This window comes from Homo sapiens, chromosome 6 (genome assembly GCF_000001405.40).
Source record: "Homo sapiens chromosome 6, GRCh38.p14 Primary Assembly".
Lineage (NCBI taxonomy): Eukaryota > Metazoa > Chordata > Mammalia > Primates > Hominidae > Homo > Homo sapiens.
Genome location: NC_000006.12, coordinates 72,665,442 through 72,690,009, shown reverse-complemented (window position 1 = coordinate 72,690,009; position 24,568 = coordinate 72,665,442). Strand labels below are relative to the sequence as shown.

At 36.9% G+C, this 24,568-nt stretch overlaps 1 protein-coding gene and 1 long non-coding RNA gene across 10 annotated transcripts in view, besides 2 other annotated features; both read right to left on the bottom strand.

The window, feature by feature from the left end:
• The window catches only part of KCNQ5 (potassium voltage-gated channel subfamily Q member 5), a 576,790-nt gene that overhangs the window by 508,844 nt on the left and 43,378 nt on the right, over positions 1-24,568 (bottom strand). The gene's annotated exons all lie outside the window — the stretch shown is intronic.
• Positions 508-627: an enhancer, noted in NCBI's record as "active region_24738". NCBI's record gives its function as "activates an Ori minimal core promoter by ATAC-STARR-seq in GM12878 lymphoblastoid cells {active_cell/tissue: GM12878}" and the evidence as "EXISTENCE:reporter gene assay evidence [ECO:0000049][PMID:35858748]".
• KCNQ5-IT1 (KCNQ5 intronic transcript 1) overlaps positions 11,452-24,568 on the bottom strand; it is a 48,064-nt gene continuing 34,947 nt past the window's right edge. Inside the window, exons 3-4 of the long non-coding RNA NR_120503.1 lie at positions 12,796-12,915; positions 11,452-11,656 (exon numbers count right to left, since the gene is read on the bottom strand). This is a non-coding gene — a long non-coding RNA (KCNQ5 intronic transcript 1). The remainder of the gene's footprint in view (positions 11,657-12,795; positions 12,916-24,568) is intronic.
• Positions 20,420-20,489: a silencer, noted in NCBI's record as "silent region_17331". NCBI's record gives its function as "represses an Ori minimal core promoter by ATAC-STARR-seq in GM12878 lymphoblastoid cells {active_cell/tissue: GM12878}" and the evidence as "EXISTENCE:reporter gene assay evidence [ECO:0000049][PMID:35858748]".

Here is a 24,568-nt window from a genome sequence, read left to right as displayed (position 1 = left end):
AAGCAACCGCGCCTGGCCATTTTCATGCTTTTGTAAGCCACTCTAGCTAAATCTGGAAATTCAAGTTACAAATTCAATCTTGTACTCTTTAAGTAACTCTTAAATAACTAAATAACTCTCGAAACAGAAGAAAAATCAGTTACCCAATCAGATTACTGTCAACTTACTATGGGTTTTTGTTTTGTTTTTCACTTTCCTGTTGCACTGAGGTTGAAAAAAAAAAAAACGCTTGTTTTCAACTAGAAAAACTAAATATAGCTAAGTTATTTTAAAACTGCATGCAATGTCACTGAATTGTAATGCATTTCAGGTATGTAAATTTTACCACAGTATCAATAATTTTAAAACTTTTACCATTTGCCTAATACTTTGTGGGTATAAGTATATATAATCTTCCAATTTTTAGTTAAACACAAATTCTCAGCTACTACAAAGTCTGCCACCTCTGAAACTTTCTAAAGGGACTGAAATGTTCCATTGTGGGTCTCTCACAAATGTGTTTTACTCTGTTAGCGAGGCTGCCGTTTGGGATTCCCCATCTGCCAGATGCTCCTTAATTTTTCTGGGTTGATGCTGTCTCATCTAGTCCCCCTTGGACAAATGACCACTTTGGATGAGTTAGGGATGTTGCTTGAGATCGAAGAATGCTTCTTTTTGGTGGAGATTTTCTGTTTTGTTTTTTCTGTGTGAAGGCTAGCTATGTCCCAGGGGAATTAGACTCATGACTTAAAGTCCCTTAGTCACTGCCCCCTTGTCTCTGCTCTTACTCATTCTGTTCCGCCATTGACGCTTGAAAGCACCACAGGTTTGTAGAGCTATGGGAGTAGCTGCATGGTTTTTGTTTTCTAACCAGGACTCCAAAGGGTTATATCTGGTAAGTTCATTTACTTTAAACCTCAAAATTAACTGCAAATAGGCCATCAGTAAATTCCCAACTGCAAGAACTTTGAATGAGTAATGAACATTTAATGACTTAAGGTTACATTTTTAATAGTCAAAACTCTTTAATTATTTTTATAGCTATAATGTTTTTCTCACTCTAAAGAATTGTTTTTACTTTAACATGTGCTCTGTTTTGACATGAAATATTTCTTGAGGTAATAAGCTTTTACCAAGCTTATATTTTTGGGCAATTCAGTTACAATGAGAAAAAAACACACCAAAAGACCAAAAATTTTAAAAACTCACTTTTCTTGCAATCATAGACATTTTGCATTATTATAGAACATTCAAACAAGTTAGGTGGATAATTATTGTCTATAGATAAATACGATGCAATTTTAATAAGAATTTGAAGAATGACATTAAATGCTGTCTGAAACCTTTTGTATTTTTTTAATGTATGACCATACTCCGTATATACTTAGATAACTTATCCAGAAACCTCAACTGTATTGAACATTGCTGAGAGAAATCAACAATAATTTTAACAGATATGATGACAGTAAAAATTGATTGCATATCTTTTTGCACTAAAACTTTTATATTTATTTACAAGCGGGAACTCCATTCTGCCACAGAGACCCTGTAAATTCTCCTTTTAGGTATACTGTAATTTGGACCAGTTTCTTCATCTGGTTTCCCAAAGCATAAACAAGAAGAAGCTGCAAATGAAGAAGGATAAAGATAAAGAAATGCTGGAAGTAAACTTGGATCTTAGTCTAGACTTAGACAATGGGAAAGAAAGAAACTCTCTTAAAAGAGTGAACCTTAAGAACCTAGTAACCTGGGAAATCTTGAAGAGCCCCTGAAGTTGCTGTGTTGTACAAAAGAAGATGTTCTGAATGCTATTTCTGAAACTTCAAATAAAGTGTAAACTCTGCTCAGTATAAAGTGTAAACTCTGCTCAGTATAGTTAGATTAAGAAAGCAATGTAACATGCATTTAGAACACTTTAAAAAGTGATCAGTATTGGGAGGCCGAGGCAGGTGGATCACAAGGTCAAGAAATTGAGACCACCCTGGCCAATATGGTGAAACCCCGTCTCTACTAAAAATACAAAAATTAGCTGGGCATGGTGATGCGCACCTGTAGTCCCAGCTACTTGGGAGGCTGAGGCAGAAGAATCGCTTGAACCTGGGAGGCGGAGGTTGCAATGAGCCGACATCACGCCACTGCACTCCAGCCTGGGCGACAGAGAGAGACTCACTCCATGTCAAAAAAAAAAAAAAAAAGGGATCAATAAAAAGACTAGCATTTTGCAAACTGGAGCTCTTATGGGTTCTTTTCACTTCTTAGGAAAAATATTTCATTTCTTTTTCCTAGAAAAAGCCAAATAAATGAAACATCATTCTACAGTTTGAGACACAATGCTTATAATATAAACAGAAGTAAAATGTGACTCAGGACTTTCCTAAACTTACTTTACATCCATCATTTGCCTAGCACTTCAAGTATGCTTTCACTTTTTATCTCCTTAAATCCCCATAATGTTCTTCCCAGTCCAAATCAGATGGCTTTTTTCTGAACTTCTTGGAGCACTGTAAATATGGTCACATGTATTGTCATTGTCGACTTACTGTCTGTTTCCACTAGCCATGTGCTCCTTGAAGGCAGGGCCTACGGTTCTCTTTGTCTCTCTTGTCCTCAGGATAGTGTTTGGAGCATGGTAGACACTCAATATTTGCTGAACAGATTAAATAGAAGTATAGGTCATGATCTCTCTGCTAAGGAGTTCACAGCTTTTCTGGGGAAGGTAGATAAGACATATACAATAGACATAACATCCTAAGAAAGATGATTTTCCACTCAAATATATGGTCCAGACAATCAATGTCAGTGGAAACAGAGCAGAGAGCAATCAATATTGGCTTAAGTATTCAGTAACGCTTCATATACAGCCTTGGAGGATCTTGGTATTGATGCTACTTCTGGCTGCTCAAGGTAACTCATCTTCACTATATAAATGTAATTTATAGATTCTGTAAATTAAATACAAGAGTTACACAATTAACTGATAAGTTAAGAACTGTCCTAAAATATATTTACTTACACACACACATTCTAAATCTGAATTATCCAGATTATGTTTACAGTGACAAAAATCAGTAGATAATCATATAGAATCATATAATTTAGCCCTTTTATGACTTTTTGAGATATGTTCCCTTATTTGATAGATTAACCTATTTTTTTCTGAAGAAATAAACAGATACAGAACACCTGAGTAACATTAAAAGAAGGAACAAAACAATAAAATCAAACAAAGATATTGGATTCTTATCTCATAACCTGTACCACAGTAGTCCCAGATGTATCAAAGACTTAAAAGTAAAAAAAAAAAAAAAAAAAACAACCCATAAAGATTCTCAAACTAAAGATGGGCAGTGAAGTAATTTATAATTTCATCTTACAGATGCAATAGAAGACAAATTTTTAAAAAGTTATTATGAAAAATAAAAACACCCTTAACAAAAGTCAAGACACAAGACAAACTGGCAAAAGTATTTACAGCTTATATCAAAGAAAAATGACAATTTTCACATACACATAAGAAAAGGATCATCAATCCAACAGAAAAGTGGGTAGACTGTGAATACCTACTTCTTAGAAAAATAAAGTGCTAATAGTGCTAAAGTGCTAAATGATGAACATATGAAATGTTCATCAGCCTCATATATTAACAAAAGAAATGTAAATTGAAACTATACTGAGCTATCATTTTGACCTATCAGCTCGAGGGAACATCACAAAATTTGATAATACAGTTTGTTGGCAAGGTTCAAAGTCTTACTCTTTCTTATATTGGAAACGGGTAGGACCCTATGTGAAGCAATAGCAAATCTGCCAAAATTTTACACAGTTTGACCCAGTCATGTTATGAGCTGAATTTTCAACATATTAAAGTTCATATGTTGAAGCTCTAATCCCCAATGTGATATTATTAGGAGGTGAGACATTTGGGAGGTAAATCAGGTTTCGATGAGGTCATGAAGATGAAGCCCCATAAGGGGGTCAACATCCTTGAAAAAGAAGAGATACCACAGCTCTCTCTCTAAACATGCACAAAGAAGAGGTCACATGATCACGCGGCTAGGTGGCAACTATCTGCAAGCTAAGAAGAGGACCCTCACTAAGAATTGAATCTGTTGGCATCTTGATCTAGGACTTTCCTGCTCTAGAACTGTGAGAAATAAATGTCTATTGTTTAAGCCACTCAGCAATGGTATTTTCTTAGAGGAGCCCAAGATACATTTCTAGGAAGTTATCCTCTTGATATACTAACATACAAGTAAAATGACATTCATATAAGCATTTTCCTTGAAATATGATAGACAATATTAGAAATAATTGAAGGCAGTTAAATAAATTAGTTCACATCCATTTGATGGAATTCTGTATACTATGAAAATGAGTAAGGCAGTATTGTATAAACTGCTAAGGCATAATATACAGTGTGTATGATATGATAACATTTATGAAAAAAACAAAAACTTACATCCATAGTGATAATGCATACAACATCTCTGAAGGATATAAAAAATGCAAGGATAGTAGTTGACTCTGGAGTAAGAAATTGGTTGTCAGGGGGCCAGGAACGGGATGGAAGAATTCTCACTGTTAACCACCATATATCTTTTGATTTTGTATTATATGCATGTATATCCAGCTCAAAAGAAAAGGAACAAAACCAGTGTATGTTGGAATGCATATAGTTTTGTTAACTAAAAACTGAGCTTCAATTCAAAACAATATGTTTCTCTTGACTGAGGGATTTACTCTAAGCAAACCTCTTAGTGAGTAGCCAGAAACTTTTTGTATCACAGACAGAAACCATTGAATTAGGACCTCAGCTCTTTGGGTCCAGGCTTTCAATACAGGTTACTAAAATAGATAAAATAGAACTTACAAACCAAATCAGAGTTTGCCTGGATTCATTCAATCATTCTGCACAACACATAGCCCTACACCCTCTCTCTTCATCTCATTTTAAGGGCCCTTTTCTCTTTCTTGTTCAGTGTGCTTATTTGTGCTTGTTTTGTTTTTGGCCTGAAGTACAAACAAACAATATAGAGGGAGGGACAATGGTGTAGGCCAAGAAATGCAGCCCAGTGGAATGTTTCTTAAGAATTATATAGAGGAGAGATGGAGCAATGCCTAGGGGCCTCAGAAATACACAGACAGACACACACGCATACACACACACAGAAATACACACATACACACACACAGACACAAATGCATACACACACATTCTTTATCATATGCCAGCATTATTAATTCATATTAACAAATGTAACATTTTGTTATTTCATAAATTAATATGTCAATATTTGGAAGGTTTTCATAACTAGTGAACTAAAACTTTCCAAATGACAATGCATAGCATTACACAGATAACATATGCAAAGGCCCATTCCAAGTGCATGAAAACAACACTTTTTCTTGCATTATAATTTTTGATTGACAGACCATTGTACCTATTTTGGAGATACAGTGTGATATTTTGATACATGTATACAATGTGTAATAATCAATATCAAGGCCTGATACTAATGCCCAGGTGGCAGAGGCAAGTCTATCTCAAAGACACTGATGAAAGATTTTTGGAAACTTTTACTGTCTGCCTCTGTGGATGGAGATTTCCAGGCAAAATAGTTAAGAAATAGTTTCTTGGGAAGAAACCACAATACTTTGTCGGTGTAGGCTCTCACTCTACTACATGGATGTGCCTTAAAATTGGCAAGCAGCTAGGATCTTTTCTGTAGGTATCCTCCAGTGTCAGGGAAGCGTGGGATGCCATTGCTGCCAGTGCACACAAAAGCCTCAGGATCTGACTAAGGAAGGATCTTGAATGAATAAGGACCTTGGTGACTATGGATGGTGGAACCCATACTCATTCGGAATTGGAAGGCTAAGAGAATCATGTCGGGCTTTTTGTTTTTGCTTTATAGAGACCAGGTGATCATGCCATGTGCATAATAGGTAATGATTATACATACATGAACAGAGTTTTCTTGTAGGTTTTGAAATCAAAAGACCTGTGTGTTGATATTGACCATGTGGGTTGGTAAGCTAAGTCTCAGTTTCATTATTACTAAAATGAAGATACCGATGGCTTTCTCACAGGTTAAGACTTTCCATGAGGACAGAAAATGATGTGAAAACATAAAAGAAAAACTAGCTGTTAGCAGCAATTATAAAATTATAAGCTCCAGACAATGTAAACCTAAACATTTTGACATAATTACTTTATTCATCATAACTTGGTAAGTTGGTAAGCAGTTACACAAATGGCATTTTTTTTTTTTTACCACACCAAACATACAAACCCAGGCATTCCTAAGAGACATCTAAACCATATACAATTAAGACCAGCTGGGCAAGAGAAAAAGTATATGTGGGCCAGGCGCAGTAGCTCACGCCTGTAATCCCAGCCCTTTGGGAGGCCGAGGCAGGTGGATCATGAGTTCAGGAAATCAAGACCATCCTGGCTAACATGGTGAAACCCCGTCTCTTCTAAAAATACAAAAAATTAGCCGGGTGTGGTGGCACATACCTGTAGTCCCAGCTACTCGGAAGGCTGAGGCAGGAGAATGGCGTGAACCCGGGAGGCAGAGCTTACAGTGAGCCGAGATTGCGCCACTGCACTCCAGCCTGGGCGACAGAGCGAGACTCTGTCTCAAAAAAAAAAAAAAAAAAAAAAGTATATGTGGCTAACAAGCACTTGCTTCAAGCTCCCACCAAAGACCAGAATCCAAGAGTAAGTGAGAATGTGTGTGCTGATTTCTCCCTCCTCTGACCACAGGTACCTGAAAATGGGGGATTCTGAGAGCCTCAGAAAGTCTGACAGCAAAGGCTTGGCTTTGGGGTTCAGACACACTTTAGCTTGAGAACTAGTTTTAACACTTAGCATTTGTGTGAACTTGAGTTAATTACCCATAATTTCTCCACTTAACAAAATTGTGGTAAAACAGGTGAAGCAGTAAGGACGCCATCTTCCATCCTCTGCATCCAGGCCAAGGAAGACACACTGAGTTAAAAAATCACGTATGGCTGAGGGCAGAGCCATCCTTAAAGAAGCTGTCCTCTCCAGAGAAGGTAGTGAGACATTTCTAAGTGGGGCAGCGATCAGCTCCTCTTTTCAACATAAAAACGTAAAGAGGCTCCTGGAGGAGCCTTTCTCCTCTTTCTTTGGTAAGTGTGAAAAAATCAGCAGATTAGGTCTTTCCCTTCCACAACCCTTTCATCCTCGCCACCCTGGCCTTGACCAATTAAAGACTCATTGGAGCTCCTAAGCACCTCTCCATCCCAGTCCCACCCTTGTTCCTAATGGTAAAATAGAAGATACCAGGAATAATCTATTTTCATTATGAATCAATTTAAAGAGCTTACTTTCATGATTCTTCATAGAGATAGAAAATTTATTAAGAGTAAAGTAGGGGTATAAGAGGAGTACTTTGAGGGCTGGATTCCTGAGACAGGGAAAGAGGCCATGGCAGAGAACTTGGACAGCTAAGAGTGGGTTGAAGCACTTGATGTCTGAGCACTGAAGGGAAGGTCAGAAAAGCAGAATGAAAGGAAGCAAGGAAGACATAAGTGTGGGGCCAAAGGAAAAAAAAGGTACAAATCCTTTTTGTAAACTGAAAATAAGGAGAGAATCAGAGGATAGTAGAGCTGGAAGAAATTTAGAATATTATCACTTCCAGTACCTTCAGAAACAAACACCTTTAAGGGTCAGGCAGGGAGTGTTAATCAGGGAAGTTGGCTGGTTGTGATACAATAGATATTGGAGAAGACCGTGGAGAACTAGAGCAAGCATTTTGTTCCTAAAAACAATATAGAGCGTTTTTTGTTTTGTTTTGTTTTTTTAATACTGTGCTGGCCAAAGAACATAACCATGTGAGGAATTGTCCAATCCCTGTAATGTTACAGATGGGACTGCCAAGCATTAAAATATCTAAGGAAGTATTTTATGAAGTGGCTTTGGACAGAGATAACTCTACTGAGGCTCTTTTCTCCACATACTTGAAAGCTGGGACCATGGATCTGAAGGATCTCACAAGAAGGAGGTCACTCCAGGAAATCCTCAAGTCCTGGGGAACTCCAGGATTTTTCCAGTTCCCCCTCAGGGAAGAACTCATTTGATTCTCCAAGGCAACCCAGGAGCAAATCTAGGATAGGGCTAGAGAATCCTCAAGGGAAAATTTAAATAATTTAGACTGACTCCATATTCTATAAGTCAGAAAGGGGCACTGAAGATATTGAAAGGGAATGGTTCACAGGTTTATCCCATGAAAACTCTATCACATCTTCTGAATGTCCTGGGATCACAGCATGATGATGATAAGCTGTGGGGATAAGCTTAAAGGGGCAACTGTGAAGGCGCAAGATCCGGAACAAAAGCTGGCAAAACAGGTTTACTTAGGGCATGCATGCAGAGGCTGCATCTTTTGGGCCACATAAGTCATATTATCATCAATATTATGGATTTGAAGCATCTATGGTTTTAATGTCAAACATTAATTATCCATCCTTGACTAGTTCAAAGAGAGAGACTTTGGATCTGGGTTTGAATTTCAGTTCTGTTACTTATTAGCTAGCTGACACAAGGAAAAGTCACTTCATTCTTCAGTGGCATACTTCTCTTGCCTGTAAAATAGAGATAATAAAACTTATCCAGGAGGGTTGTGATGCTAAGAGGTAACGTGTAGATGCAAAGAGCCCAACAGAGAATAATTACTCAATGAATAAAAGCTATTATTATCTCTTATCATCATTGTTATTGTTATCATAATAGTAGTTACAAACTAGCATCATCACACAGCAAGCCCCCGTTGCTTTATTCTCACATACACAGAAAGCCCCCATTGCTTTCTTCTCACGTCCTCAATGTTGTAACTTCCAAACATGCAGGATCTGCGTGCTCTATAAGAGAGCTCCAATAAATGCACAGCTCACTCAACTTGTGTCCTGGTTTACAGAAGTAAGTAACAGGAGAAGCAGGGCTTTCATAGCCCTTCCACACTTTTTTACTCAAGTGCTTTGGTATACAATTAGTAAGCAGTGTTTCCAGCAGCTTCTGATTTGCAGTAAGTAATTGCAGTCTAGTGCTCTTTCTTCTGTTGCCACTTGCTAAACACCCACTTAAAAGTATCAGATCACAAAACTCCCTACAAATTGAAATTTATGTTTCCTTTTGGGTTATTTAGGACTAATCCAACAAAGCCAATGAGGAAACATAATGCTAATTTATACTTTTAGTTTCATAGCACTACCTTGGTTATTTTTATACTTAATTGAAAGGGGATATTTCCTCTTATATTTTTGTAAATGTGGATTTTGGGGGGAGTTCTAGACAATGAATTTACACTAGCAAATGCTAGGCAAAGTAATGAGAAGCAAAATTAACTTACTGAAGCATTTTAACGAGTAAAAAAATGGTTATCTATTGCCTAAATAAGTCAAGGTTTTTCTTTCTGAAGGTATCTTCATTTCATTGGCTGTGATTTTGTTTAATTTGAGAGAGAAGGCAAGAGTGTTATCATTCTCCAGTTGGAAACTAGCATGGATGGTATTCCTGCTCCTACTCTTCAGAATTTTAGTATAAACAAAATAAGCTGATCCAAACACACATTAACTGATTGGTGGATAAACAAACTGTGGTATATCCACACAACTGAATATTATTTAGCAGTAAAAAGAAATGAAATATTCATACATGCTACACCATGAATGTACCTTGAAAACATTAAGTGAAAGAAAAGGCACAAAGGGCCACATATTACATGATTCCATTTATACCAAATGTCCAGAATAGGCAAATACATAGAGATAAAAAATGGATAGAAGGTTACCTAGGAAAGGGGTGGTGGTAGGGGATGGAGAGTACTGCTTATGGACAAGGAGGCTTCTTTTTTAGAATAATAAAAATATTTCGGAATCCCATAGTGATAATGGTTGTTTAGCTCTGTGGATATCCTAAAACCCACTGAATTTTATACTTTTTAAAATTTTTTTTATTTTTGAGATGGAGCCTTGCTCTGTCACCCAGCCCAGGCTGGAGTGCAGTGGCACGATCTTGGCTCACTGCAACCTCTGTCTCCTGTGTTCAAGCTATTCTCCTGCCTCAGCCTCCCGAGTAGCTGGGATTGCAGGCATGCACTACTACATCCAGCTAATTTTTGTAATTTTAGTAGAGACAGGGTTTCATCATGTTGCCCAGGCTGGTCTCGAACTCCTGACCTAGGGCGATCTGCCCACCTCAGCCTCCCAAAGTGGGGATTACAGACGTGAGCCACCATGCCTGGCTGACTTTCATACTTTATTATTTTTATTTTATTATTATTATACTTTAAGTTTTAGGGTGCATGTGTACAATGTGCAGGTTAGTTACATGTGTATACATGTGCCATGCTGGTGTGCTGCACCCATTAACTCATCATTTAGCATTAGGTATATCTCCTAAAACTATCCCTCTCCCCTCCCCCCACCCCACAACAGTCCCCAGAGTGTGATGTTCCCCTTCCTGTGTCCATGTGTTCTCATTGTTCAATTCCCACCTATGAGTGAGAATATGCGGTGTTTGGTTTTTTGTTCTTGCGATACTTTACTGAGAATGATGATTTCCAATTTCATCCATGTCCATGCAAAGGACATGAACTCATCATTTTTTATGGCTGTATAGTATTCCATGGTGTATATGTGCCACATTTTCTTAATCCAGTCTATCTTTGTTGGACATTTGGGTTGGTTCCAAGTCTTTGCTATTGTGAATAGTGTCGCAATAAACATACGTGTGCATGTGTCTTTATAGCAGCATGATTTATAGTCCTTTGGGTATATACCCTGTAATGGGATGGCTGACTTTCATACTTTAAAAGAGTGAATTGTATGGTAGCTGAATTAAAATTCAATTTTCTACCTAGAAAATTCTTGCCTGTCATCATCATCATTTCCCAAAACAAACATTCTCTGCAAGTTTACCTTGTGAGGTTCAGTGAATTCTTGAGTGACACTGCATTAGCAAAACAAGTTTTGAAGTCCTTGTTTATAAATCTCAACTTGGTTTCCATAGTTTCATAAACAAAATACTCTGCCAATTTTATATTTTGAAAAAATTGCTTTGAAGATTCTTTCATTTTATTGGCTTTTCTAATAAGATAAAAGAAGTGCTTCATGTCTTTTATTTTTATTTTAGTTTTTGGAAAGAAGTTGAGTCAAAACGGGATTAAGAATTCTATTGTATGGCTTCTTGAAAGCAGCAGAAAATCAAATATGGAACATACCCAAAGTGGGAAAGAAATAATTACTTAATTCAGCACATTAATAAAAAAGATCTTACAAATTAAATGTTGTTCCAAAGACATCTTAAACACCTACTACAGCATCATACACATTTATTGAGAAAATGCCAAGTTTTATATTATGGTATTCTAGCAACTCAATGCAATAAAAATTTCCAGAAAAACAAATGGAATAATGTAATTTTTATAAAAAATACGATACATATGACCAGTGTTACTTTTTTTTATTTTTTTGTTATGCATTTGGAAATGCCACTAATGCAAGGTTTTATTTAATAATTGAATAATAATGTAGGGTAATGTGGTGTTGAAGAGAACAAGCCCTGGGGTCTATCTGATTTGAATCCTGATTCCTCTATTTATGGCCTGGAGAAAGTTTCTTGATCTTTCTAGGCTTCAATTTTCTCCATCTGTAAAATGAGGATATGGTGTAGGGTTGTGAGAATTCAATGTAATAATGCACTTAAAGTGTTTAATATGATGTTTGGCACATGGTGAGCTGAAAGCATTATTATTATCATCATCTTTTTCTTAGCATTGCTTAATGTCCTTTTATAGGATTATTTCTTCTCCTAGCAATACTTCTGAGAGAGTCAATAGATTTCAGCTAGAGAAGCAAGGTCACAAACCAATTCAGCCCTACAGTGAGATACTTTTCATTTGTTTCTCTCAAAATATTCAAGTTGTAATTCCAAGAAACCATTCATCCTTTATGCTAACAGGCCTCTAACCACAATTTAATAAAATTTCTTTTTTTCCATAAACAAAGCCAAACATAATATCTTGTTCATCTGATTATAAGCAGAATAGCTGCTATCTGAACACTGCTGTATCACAGACAATAATGGCAGTAATTACTAGCCACCGCACCCCCAATCACCTAAGACATGTGGTATCCATCAGTGTAACAAAAAATGAAAAGAGGCAAACAAGTCTGCTCACTCAACTTTGTATGTTGATATTTGATTTATAGTTCAATAGAGTTACATCTATTCTATAAGTAATTCCTAGGTACTTAGTATGTTTTGAACATGGTGGATGCCTAGAATAAATTTCTCATTCAGTTGAATTCCTTAGTATTGTGTTAGGTGTCACAGATACAAACTAAAGTTAAACTTTACCTTACCTAAAGCTTAAAACCTTATTCTGAGGCATATTGTATTCAGAATTAAAAATAGTCAAGTTCTTCAATTACAAGATAAGATTTAGTAAAGGCAAGGCAAGCATGAGTAAAATGTTAATACCAGATACATTTATTCTCTGTGACAGCAGACACTGATAACATTTCAAGGTAAATTTAAATAACTTAGAAAAGTTCATGGTATGGCCAACTGTGATGATAATCTTTACTGCAAGATCCCTGGGGCAAAAAGTTATTTTATGTCATTCTAATATAAGTACTCCCATTTCTGAGGTTCCCAAATTGTCTAGAAACTATCCCATCTGCACCATTCCCTAAAGATAATCAATCTCACCAGGTGATCTTAAACCCAAAGGCTGGTGCTGGTGTTTCTGGAGGACAGTATCTGAAAAGCCCAGAGTTTCTTACCCCAGTAACTGATGTAGCTGATGTGAGTAAGTCCTGGCTTGCCTGACCACATGTCAACACGGAGGAGCAGGGTAGTAGAGGCTTCAGAGAGTAGTACGCCATGCGGTTTTGGTTGACCCACTGAGAGGGAAACAAGGTAAACTGAGACTATAATTACTGAACTAATTTGCTTTGGTGGCCTAAGAAGATAAGTCTTCAAAAAAATTCAAAACTTGTTATAGAAACATACATACATACATATACCCCAAATCAAACCAAAAACAAAGCTGAAAAAAGTACTAACTAAAAATATCAATTATACCTAAGAATTAAAGACTCCTGTTATCCAAAAACACTGCTTTGGAGTTATGCCAGCAAGCACCCTTAACATTTGGTCCTATGTTACAGCAGCCTTTTTTGAAGGAAAATACAATGAAGAATCTTGACACATTGATTTCAACTCCACATAAAAATATTTTTAATCAGCATTTTATATGCCCAGATTTTAAAGAAAATGTCAAATGTATGGAAAAAAGCAAAAATAGATATAAACAAGGAGAAGTGACAGCATTTTTAAAAAGCAATGTTGGTCAATTAATGCAACCACGACAATCTAAAGGGATGAATAGTAAAATTTCATACTAATTACCAGAATCTTGTTTTCTAACATTTCCATACAGAAATATTTATGTTCTTTCTCAATTTAGGATGCTTACTCCAGAAATTCACTTCAAAAACTGGGAACAGAGACACCAATCTGCTTCTTCTCAGACTTACCATACAACGGAAACATCTTCTCCCTCCTGTGTCAGCCCTGAGCATATTCTGACTCAGTAAAATTGAGGTTATAATAGAGTAAAATACTTTATGATGGAAATTTTATTCTGCTGCTTTGTGACATAAAAAATTTAAATAATCCAAGAAAAAGGGAGAGAAAGACAAAATTTTCCATTCTTTCAGATACATTACATTCCCACACACTTCTCCCATTCCTAGCTCACATGCTGATGTGCATGCTGATGTGTCTTTGTGTTCAAGATAAGAGTAGAGAATACCCAGTCTTTTTCATGAAGTACGAAATAGGATGTGCAGTAGATCAAGTCAGGTTAGTTACCTCCCATTATCCAAAAACACTGCTTTTGTAACCTCAAAAGTCCAAAGGTCTTTGCAAGAGTTAATGAAATTAAATCCTATAATAATTGTATCTCCAAAGATACAGTGCTCTGAATTTACTTAAACAGTTACATAGGAGCAATAACCAGTTTCAAAATCAATATAAGATTCAGAATGGATATATTTAAAAACAAAAGAAAGAGACTGTCTAGTAAACTAGGTTAAAATGTTCAGTGATTTACTCCCTCAATTCTAAAATGGATCAATTTTTCTAAGCCAATGCTCCCATCTCATAAATCACTGGAAAATCCTTCTAAATATTAATGGTATAAGGCTACAGGAATATAAAACCCTAAGGCTTAGTTTAAAAGAATCTAGAGTGAAATAAGGGCCATGAATTCCACAAAAACAAAGTTTCACTGGGAGTCATTCTGGAAAACTGTCACACATACCTTCAGAAAGCTGGTATGAGAAGCATGCCAAGAAAGTTCAGTTATTATCTCACTGGCAGTTATCGCTATTGTCCAGTCACTCAATCTTAACTACTGATGGTTAATCTCAGATTGTTTGTCTGGTAAGATGCAAGACTGCAAGACAAAGTAGGGGCAGACACCAGGGGCAGAACTGAAAATTGAAATCAGTGGGCCCTAGGCAAAGACTGGTTTTCCACAATAGAATTCAGAAGCACAATGTTTTAATTTAAATATTACTTCAATTCCAAGATAAATTAGAACAATTTAAACCTCTTTCTCTAATTTTCCCTGGGAATTAAAATTTCCTTTACAATAGATGACAATTTTGCAGTTCCTTAGAAGTCCCTTGGATAGAAAGTATAATTAACTTGATAACAAATATGTTCATGACTACTAAGCCTTATGTGTCCTCAAGACAGCTTTGGATACTCAGTTTTGAAAACTGAGTGGTCCCCAGGTACCAATATATAAGTCTTTTGGGAAATACAACCAGAGAAAATTTTTTTGTTTGTTTTATGGTTGGTTGGTTTTGTTTGCCTCAAAAAGACCTGAGCAAAGCAAAAAATAACTACTGAATTTTTTAAAGACTGAACTACAGTGCCTTACGTAATGAAAAATCTAAAGTGCAACTTAGCAAATAACTTTCTACAAAGCAGTCTTTATGTAATAACTACATTACTTAAAGTAAGAGATCTATAGCATCCATGCAGTTAGGCCCACACACATACTTATTCACTGAATAATAAAATAGAACTATTCTCTGAAGTGGAAGATCAAAATTAGTTGATAGCAAAGCCTTAGTTAGATGATCAAAGATAATTTGCCACACTTACTCCCACTTTCTTTGTTTTTAAACTTTATTTATTTATTTATTTATTTAGAGACAGGATCTCACCCTGTCACTCAGGCTGGAATGCAGTGACGCGATCTCAGCTCACTGCAACCTCTGCCTCCCAGGTTCAAGCAATTCTCGTGCCTCAGCCTCCCGAGTGGCTGGGGCTACAGGCACATGCTACAGCAACTGGCTAATTTTTGTATTTTTAGTAGAGACGGGGTTTCACCACGTTGGCCAGGCTGGTCACGAGCCCTGAGCTCAAGTGATCTGCCTGCCTCGGCCTCCCAAAGTGCTGGGATTACACGTGTGAGCCGCCATACCCGGTCTCTTTTTTTTAACTTAAAAATATTTTTTTAATTTTAAATTTTTATTTCAACAGTTTTAGGGGTACAGTAAGTTCTTTAGTGGTGATTTCTGAGGTTTTGTTGTACCTGTCACCTGAGCAATGTGCACTGTACACAATATATAGCCCACTTTCTTAAGGATCTCCATTTAGCATCTCTTGAATCCATTCTGCAATTAATCTAGTTAAGAAATTTAACTCTAAGTATTACCAAGGCTTTGGAAAAATGGGAAATAATTTCTCCAAAAAAAAAAATCAAAACATTGGATGATGGACAGATAGATAGACAGATAGGCAGACATACAGATAGATATTTTCTTCTCCTGTTTCCAAAAAGGATCCACAGTGACACTTACTATTCACGGTACAGTCTCAATTTTTAAGTCTTTAAGGCTAGAAATGTAGCTTATAAGACAATTTTTTATTATAATATAACAAATAATGAAGCAATGCTTTTAGAGTAACGTATTATACTAATACTGGTTGAAATTCTAGAAATAAAAAAGTTGATTCACGTTATCCTCTCCATACAGTTGAAGTGGAGAACTTCTAGTTTGAGAACATTTGGTTCAATTTAATCTGAATAAAACGGCTTTGTCACTGCTACCAAAGCATAGAAAATAACTTCTATTGTCCAATCTGGTGACCCTCTCAAGTAATGGACCAAAGTAAAGGTATCAGATAGTTGAAGATGTGAACATAGTGATTAACCAGCTAACTAACTCTTTGAAAGCAGAGGATAAAGGATAACAATGCCAATTTCCACAGTCCAAAGGAAGAGTGGGGTGTACCCTTTACTAAACCTAAAATATTCCCACTCCACGTCCTCCTTCCTTGCCTTACCTCTTCGCCTCCTCCACTCCTCCCCATGGGTCACTGCCTTTGCCTGTCTGAATCCCTACACTCCAGACTCCTTCCCTTTGCCCCTCTCTTCCTAGTCTACCTCTTTTTTCTTGTCTTCTTTCACATCTCAATCACTTTAAATGAAAATAACCTTGGAAAGAAGTATGTTCTGTTGTTTACTATACTCAGTAAACAATATTGTTTCCAATATTTTAAAATAAAAATTGGACATTTTACTTTCCAAGGAAAAGTAAAGTGTATTTCAAGGAAGAAAATACACTTGATGCATTATATATTTAGGGTGTGTCTTTCAACTGCTTGCTTCTTCTTCTGTAAGTAAACAATTATGACCAGGAAAATAAGAAGTTCCCTTGCCCACTAACCCAACACCCTAGATCCATACGGAGGCACAGAGCACAAAGCTGAAGGGGTGGGAGCCCTGAGTCTATGGAGTTAACAGTCCTTGACTCCAGGCAAGACTGGAGGTTAGCTATCCCCAGGCAATGGGACAGCTGTCACAAATGGGATTCCACAGCCTCCCCAGAGGCCAATTCTACTTTGTAGTAACCTCACTACTGGAAAGTTATTTGGTTTAGTTAGCCTAAATAACTCATGCTGAACTCTCCTAGTCTGGTCATCAGTATTAGCTCACTGGAGTAGTTTTCAAGTGCTTTAAGACAATTATTGGATTACCTACTAGCCTTCTCTTTCTCATGCATAATCACTACAAATCACTCAAATCTTTTCACAAGTGCTTTTTATCATTCCTATCATTTTTTATGCTAACTCTGATACTTCTAGATTTTTCCTATCATCTTTAGTTATGAAATGAAAGTGATAAATATTAGAAAATTACCACTATTATAGTAATGAAATAATGAGTGAAATCAATACTTTACAAAGTCCTTTCTTGGGCATGACGTCTTCTGATTCTGACAATTTTGTAAGGTAGGTACGGCAGGGGATAAAGCTTCCATTTTCCTCAGATGAGGAAATTGAAGCCCCAGGAGGTTGTCACTTTCCAAAGCATATATAGCCAGAAAGTGCCAAAGACTGTATCGGAAACTAGGACTTCTGACACCAAAACTTATATACTTTTATTTTTAAAAACACTAGGCTGTCTACTTATGTCTATGAAATAATCTTAGTGGATCTTAGTGTGTCTTTTTAACTTTCTTCTATTAAAAAATGCTTACTCTATGTTTATATACATATAAAATTTTCTGGTGAAGGCTGGGCGCAGTGGCTCACCCCTGTAATCCCATCACTTTGGGAGGCAGAGATGCGTGGATCACTCGAGGTCAGGAGTTTGAGACAAGTCTGCCCAACATGGCGAAACTCCGTCTCTACAAAAATTACAAAAATTAGCCAGGCGTGGTCCTGGACTTGGGAGGCTGAGGCATGAGGATACCTTGAACTTGGGAGGCAGAGGTTGCAATGAGCTGAGATCATGTCACTGCACTCCAGCCAGGGTGATAGAGTAGACTCTGTCTCAAAAAAAAAAAAAAAATTAGGCCAGGCGTCGTGGCTCATGCCTGTAATCCCAGCACTTTGGGAGGCCGAGGCGGGCGGATCATGAGGTCAGAAGATTGAGACCATCCTGGCTAACACGGTGAAACCCTGTCTCTACTAAAAATACAAAAAATTAGCCAGGCGTGGTGGCGGGTGCCTGTAGTCCTGGCTACTTGGGAGGCTGAGGCAGGAGAATGGTGTGAACCTGGGAGGTGGAGCTCGCAGTGAGCCGAGATCGTGCCACTGCACTCCAGCCTGGGTGACAGAGCGAGACTCCATCTCAAAAAAGAAAAAAAAAAATTTCTGGTGATATATATGTGTATATTTATGTATATCTATGTGTATACATATACCACCAAAAAATATTTCCTGCCAAGAATCTGCATGCCCATGTACTCTGCTATCATGAACTAGGTTGCAAGGAAGCCTGTTGTCATGGTTACATTTTTGATAATCCTAATACTTTGTCATGTATAAAGATGAAAGTATTACATTCTGTATAAAATTGGTGCTTTTTCTTAAATAAATAATATTAGAAAATTTAAGCCCAAGAGGCAGCACAAGTTTAAAGTGATGAATAAAAATGTGTTCATTGTCATTATCTTGTCTCTCTAGAAAACAAGACTCAAGTAAAAACCACAAAGGTATGTGGTTTGGAATAAAGTTTATGAAAACCTCAGTAGTTGCAATTACTGAGACTTTATCAAAATGCTAGTAGCATAACTATGAGAAATCCTTCTGGCTATTCTGACAATAAACACATCTACGCCTTCCACACAGCCCTATAAGCCCTCACTGTAGACTCCCCATGAAACTCATCAGTATCCCTATTCCTTTCTCCTGAGCAAGTGACTCATTCAGTTTTCCCAAAGTAAAGGCTGTCTACTCTTATTAACTTAATGTTGTATCCCCTCAAAATCCCTCAAATCTGAGAGCTCCAAAAGAAAAGGGAGAAGGCCTGAGAGAACGCTTTCATCTTCTTAGTGAATACTAAACAATCGTGAACTGAATGTTGGTAGAAATACGGGCGTTAAAGGTCATTTGGATGAGGACCCAGATGGAAATGAGCAGCAGGTTATAAAAACTTGGAGAAAAGGTGATCCTTGTTATAAGGTGGCAAAGAACTTGCCTGAATTGTGCTCTAGTGTTTTGAATATTGAATATCCAACCCCCAATATAACTATTTAGAGATAGGGCCTTTGAAGACCCTACCGGGTCTACAGGATCTGACCTATAGGATCAGAACCCCACTCTTATGTCCTTGTTTATGTCTTATGTCCTTACCTATTGAGGTAAGTAAGGTTAAACAAGAATGTAAGAGTTGGGCTCTGATCCTATAAGATTCATGTCCTTATAAGAAGAGACACGAGAGATCTCATACTGTCTCTCTCCACCACAGGAGCACACAGCAAGAAGGTGTCTGTCTACAGCCAGGAAGAAAGCCAAGAACCGAACTGGCTGGCACCTCACTCTGGGACTTCTAGCATCCAGAACTGTGAGAAAATAAATTCATGTCGTTTAAGTTACTTATTCTGTTGTTTAATACCACTATGGCATTTTATTATGGCAGCCTGAACTGATTATGACAGATTTTGGGATTAAGAAGTGGGGTAAAGCTGTAAAAAAGTACCTAAAAACAAAAAAAACAAAAACCCTAAAAGTTCTAAAGTGGTTTTGGAACTCAGTGATGGGTAGAGGCTGCAAGAGCTGGAGGTACATGCTAGAAAAAGCTAAGATTGCCATTAAGAGAGCATAGGTAGAAATATGAACATTAAAGGCAACACTGGTGAAAGCTCACAAAGAAAAGAGGAGAGCTGGAGAGAAGGCTTTCATCTTCTTAGTGAATACATACATAATTATAAACTGAATGTTAGCAAAAATATGGACGTTAAAGGTCATTCTGATGAGGGCCCAGATGGAAATGAGGAACAGCTGATTAAAACTTAGAGGAAAGTTGATCCTTGTTATAAAGTGGCAAAGACCTTGCCTGAATTGTCCTTTAGTGTTTTGTAGAAAGCAGGAATTGTGAGCAATAAAACTGGACACTCAGCAGAGTATTAAACGTGTAGCTTTGGTTCTCACTGCTTATAGTCAAATTCAAGAGGAAAGAGATGAATGGAAGAAGGAACTGTTAAGTATAAAGGAACCAGAACTGAGAGATTTGGAAATTTCTCAGCCCATCCACATTCCAAAAAAAAAAAAAAAAGGAAAGAAAGTTTGTTTTGAAGAGAACACTAAGCAACTAAGCATTAAGGGTATGGCTGAACAACTGCTTGATAGAGAGCATAGGTGCAATTCATGAATGTAATCAGCCATCTCAGCACAGCCAGGAGTAGGATTACACCAGCAGAGACTCTGCCAGTTTGAAAAATAGGGGAGACAGAAAATGGGATGGAATAACAGAAGGCTGTCGAACTTCTTGGGTTCTACAGGACCAGACCATAGAGCTCTTTGTCTATGAACACGAACTAGTCTTCAAAGAAAGGGAAGAATGACTCTGAAAGCAATTCAGAGATGATCAGAACTGCCACTCCCACCACAGGCCCAAGGGGAGGGGAAGACAGGTGGGTAAGGCTCTTTCCTGCTTGGTTTCAGAGAGTGGAGCTGCCTCAGAGACCCACAAGGTGGGGCCACCCTGCAGAGCTGTGGCAGTGATGCTGCCAACCCCAGGCCTGGAAAGTCAATGAGGATTATTCAAGGCAAAGAGGATTATTCAAGCCAAAGACAATTATTCTCCAACCTTAAGATTGAATGGAAATTTGCCTTGCTAAGTTTGACTTGTTCGGGATCCATCACCCCTTCATTCCTTCCGATTTTTCCCTTTTGTGATGGGAACGTCTATCCTATAACTGTCTCATCATTGTATTTTGGAAGCCCATTAGCTTGTCGGGTTTCACAGGTTCACAGCTGGAGAGGAATTTTGCCTCATGATGAATCATACCTTGAGTCTCATCCATCTGACTTAAATAATATTTAGATGAGATTTTAGAATTTAGACTTTAGAGTTGATGCTTGATGCATTAAGACTTTTGGGGCGATAGGATGGAATGAATGCATTTTGCACTAAAAAAGGACATACATTTTGGGGGGCCAGGGGTGGAATGTCACAGACTAAATGTGTGTGTCCCTCCATAATTCATACATTGAAGTCCATATCCCCAATAAGTATATTTGAAAACAGGGCCTGTATGAAGGTAATTAAGGTTAAAGAAGGTCTTTAGGGCCTGGCCATAATCCAATAGGACTAATGTCCTTCTAAGAAGGCTGGAAGTTTCAGATCTTGGTGCTGGCTGATGTGGTTACTGAGGAGGCCCTCTTTCTGGTTTGTAGGTGGCTGCCTTCTTGCCATGTTCTCACATGGTGGGGAGAGAGCACATGAGCTCCCAGAAAGAGGGCCTCCCCAGTAACCACATCAGCCAGCACCAAGATCTGAAACTTCCAGCCTCCAGAACTGTGAGGTTTCCATTGTTTAAGCCATCCAGTCTATGGAATTTTGTTATGGCAGCCTGACCTGACCAAGACATCTACTAATGAATCACCTGGAGTAACCAAGTTCTGGTTACACCTGGAGTAATCAAGTTCTAGTTCATGTTATGCTCACAAAAAAACTTTTCTAAATCTACCACCTCACCCAAAACACACACACACACACAGAGTCCCAACAGGAGGTCATTTCTGTCCTCTTTGTGCCAACTCTCATATAGCTACCTTAATTTATTTCATTGCTCTCACCAAACTGTAAATTGTTTGAAGGCAGAAATTCCGTTTTCTCATCATTGTATCCTCTGCAATGCTTAACACAGAGTTGATGCTCAGTAATTATGTTTAGTCAATGCAGTTGAATTATATTGATTTGGGCTGTCAACTTTCCTTTTTTAAGAAATAACTTTTAAAATTTTGAACTTATTAAGAATTATAGAAAAAGAGGCAAAAATTGTACACCCTGTACTATCGTGTATAGGAGAGTTTCTATACACTTTCCCCAGCCTTCCCAATATCAACTTCTTATATAATCATAGTACATTTATCAAAACCAAGGAATTAATATTATTATAGTATTAACTAACTACAAATTTTATTTGAATTTCAAGGTTTTTTCAATAAAGTCCTTATTCTGTTCCAAGATCCAAACCAAGATCCCACATTGTAATTGTTCGTCATATCTCCTTAATCTCCTCCAGTGTGTGATAGTCTCTTGGTCTTTCCTTGCCTTTCATGACCTTGAAATTTTTGAAGATTATTGGTCAGTTATTTTGTAAAATGTTTCTCAGCTTGCACTCATCTGATATTTTCTCATTAGATTAAGATTATGCATTGTTAACATGAATACCATCATATAGGGATACATCATTTCAATATGCCCTATTACTATTACATTAGGAAACATAATATGGATATATTTTATTACTGTTGATATTAACCTCAACCATTTGATATACATGTATCCTGTTACTGTTGACATTAACCGAATCATCAACTGGTACCTGCTTGATTTTTTCACTGTAAAGTGACTATCTTTTTCTTCGTAATTAATAAATATCTTGGGTGAAATACTTTGAGACAATATAAATATCCTATGTCTCCTTCATCTCTTATCCACTTATTTTAATACCCACGGGTAGATCTTGCTATCAATAACTATTTCTATAATATTTATCTAATGGTGATTTTCAATTTTCTTATTCCTGAACTGTCAGCTTTCAAAACAAAAAAAGGCAAAGGCCTGAATTCCCCTGGATAGGGCAATGCAGGGTGAAGTCGGGATACGAATCTGAGTGATCAACACAAGTACAATAGGAGGCTTAATGGTGCCTAACTCTAGAGCAGAGACAGAGGTGAGGCTTAAGTCATCTTTGGTGGCTGCCTTAATTTAATAGATCAAGCCCATTCCACTCCCCTTGCTTGATGAGATCCAATTTTTGAGCTGAGCTAGCCTAAAGATTTGTTGTAAAGGCAACTGAAAACAGATGTGAGGACAGAGTGGTAGGAGAGTAGCAGCAGACACCAGACATTTCTTATCAGAAGCTGTTTCTCACATCTTCTTTGAAAAAAAAAAATATTTCATTTATTTCCTAATGAATATTTGCTAAAGTTATAGTAGCACACATCTTTTAAAAGTTGTTCAATTGATTTCTTTGCTAATTTATCATGACCAGTATTTTAGGAATGTTTATTGTAGTATATCTATAAACAATGGAACATGTAATTGTAAAAGATGGAAACCATAACCTACTAATTGCACATTTAGTTGGAACCCTAGGAGTTAGTTCACCATTATATCATGAATATACTTAATAAGTTTCTTACTGGACTTTACACTTTATTGTGAATTTTATGATAATGCACTCTCAAGGTTTTTAAGTGTAAACGTTCATAATAAAATACTAGCATTTTACTTTAGTACATTATTAACATATTTCTCAAAACTTCATGTTAACATTCAATAAATAAATCTGTATTTCAGATCACTTTAGAGTAAATTTTGTAAGTATTTTGAATAATTTCATTACAAATTAGCCATTAGGTATAATTTCAATACATTAAGTCATTTAAAAAGAAATTAAATAATTTTTTAAAGGCACAGATGAGATTCAAACTTACGAATCTAAATTGATTCAAAACAGAGTTTAAAGTAAACCACTTAGCCTATTAAATTTGGCGAAAAATATTAAATGCTCTTTCATTTTTAAGTCATTCAGTTTTACGATAGTGATATTGATTAATCGATAATGTCATGATTTTGGGATAAGATGTGACTTCTCCACAAATCAATATGTAAATTTATTCCAGTTGTTATTTTCCTTTTATACACCACTAAAATGAATACAAGTTTAGAGACTTTTTAAATTATAACATTAAAGTCCTTTTTAATATCGTGATGTATATCTCTCTTTATTTATCATTATTTACCTCTGAAAAATGAATGATATTTAACTTTACCTTTTAATGTGTGGAAATAACCTCCTCAAATCTTTTAAGATTGACGTCTTCTACTCTTACAGATACAGTGCAATTATACGGAGAAGCTATGAAATTACTCCTATTTTACTCCCACAGCTGAACCCGTTTATAGAACTCCTGGTTTAGAATTGTTTCCTATTATTCTGATTACGGAAACAAATATGAGGTCATGAGAAGCCAAGAGTAGTGAGTAAGGTGGGTAACAGGTTTGGGGTAATTTTATTCATGACCAGAAGCCAAATAATGACTAAAATTCCTATGTAGTTCATTAAGAGATTCTGAGTCAATTCCAAAGAGGTTAAGAAATAGCCACCCTGTAATATAATATAGCAGTGGTGTGGCCTCCTAAGGCTATTACCTCAAAGACAACAGAGTGTGCGTTATATAACTTCTGGCACCCTATAATCACCCTCATGCGGCAACTCTTTATGATCTGTGCCAACGAGGGTAAACAAGTGGAAATTTGAAAACAGAGACTATCCATGAAAAATATAGTTATATGGAAAGAAAGGAAGTAGTCTGGTTGCTTTGGGCAGAGACTGTGCTTCTAATGCCCCCATGTGAGTCCTGATTTGGGAAGTTGTTTCTTATGTAATGGCCAATCTATAACGTGAATAATCCATACAGAACTAGTTAGAAGTTTACCAGGATGCTTTTGATTTTCTTTTCAGAAATTCTTGGCAAATCTTGGGTGGATTTAAATGATGACAATAG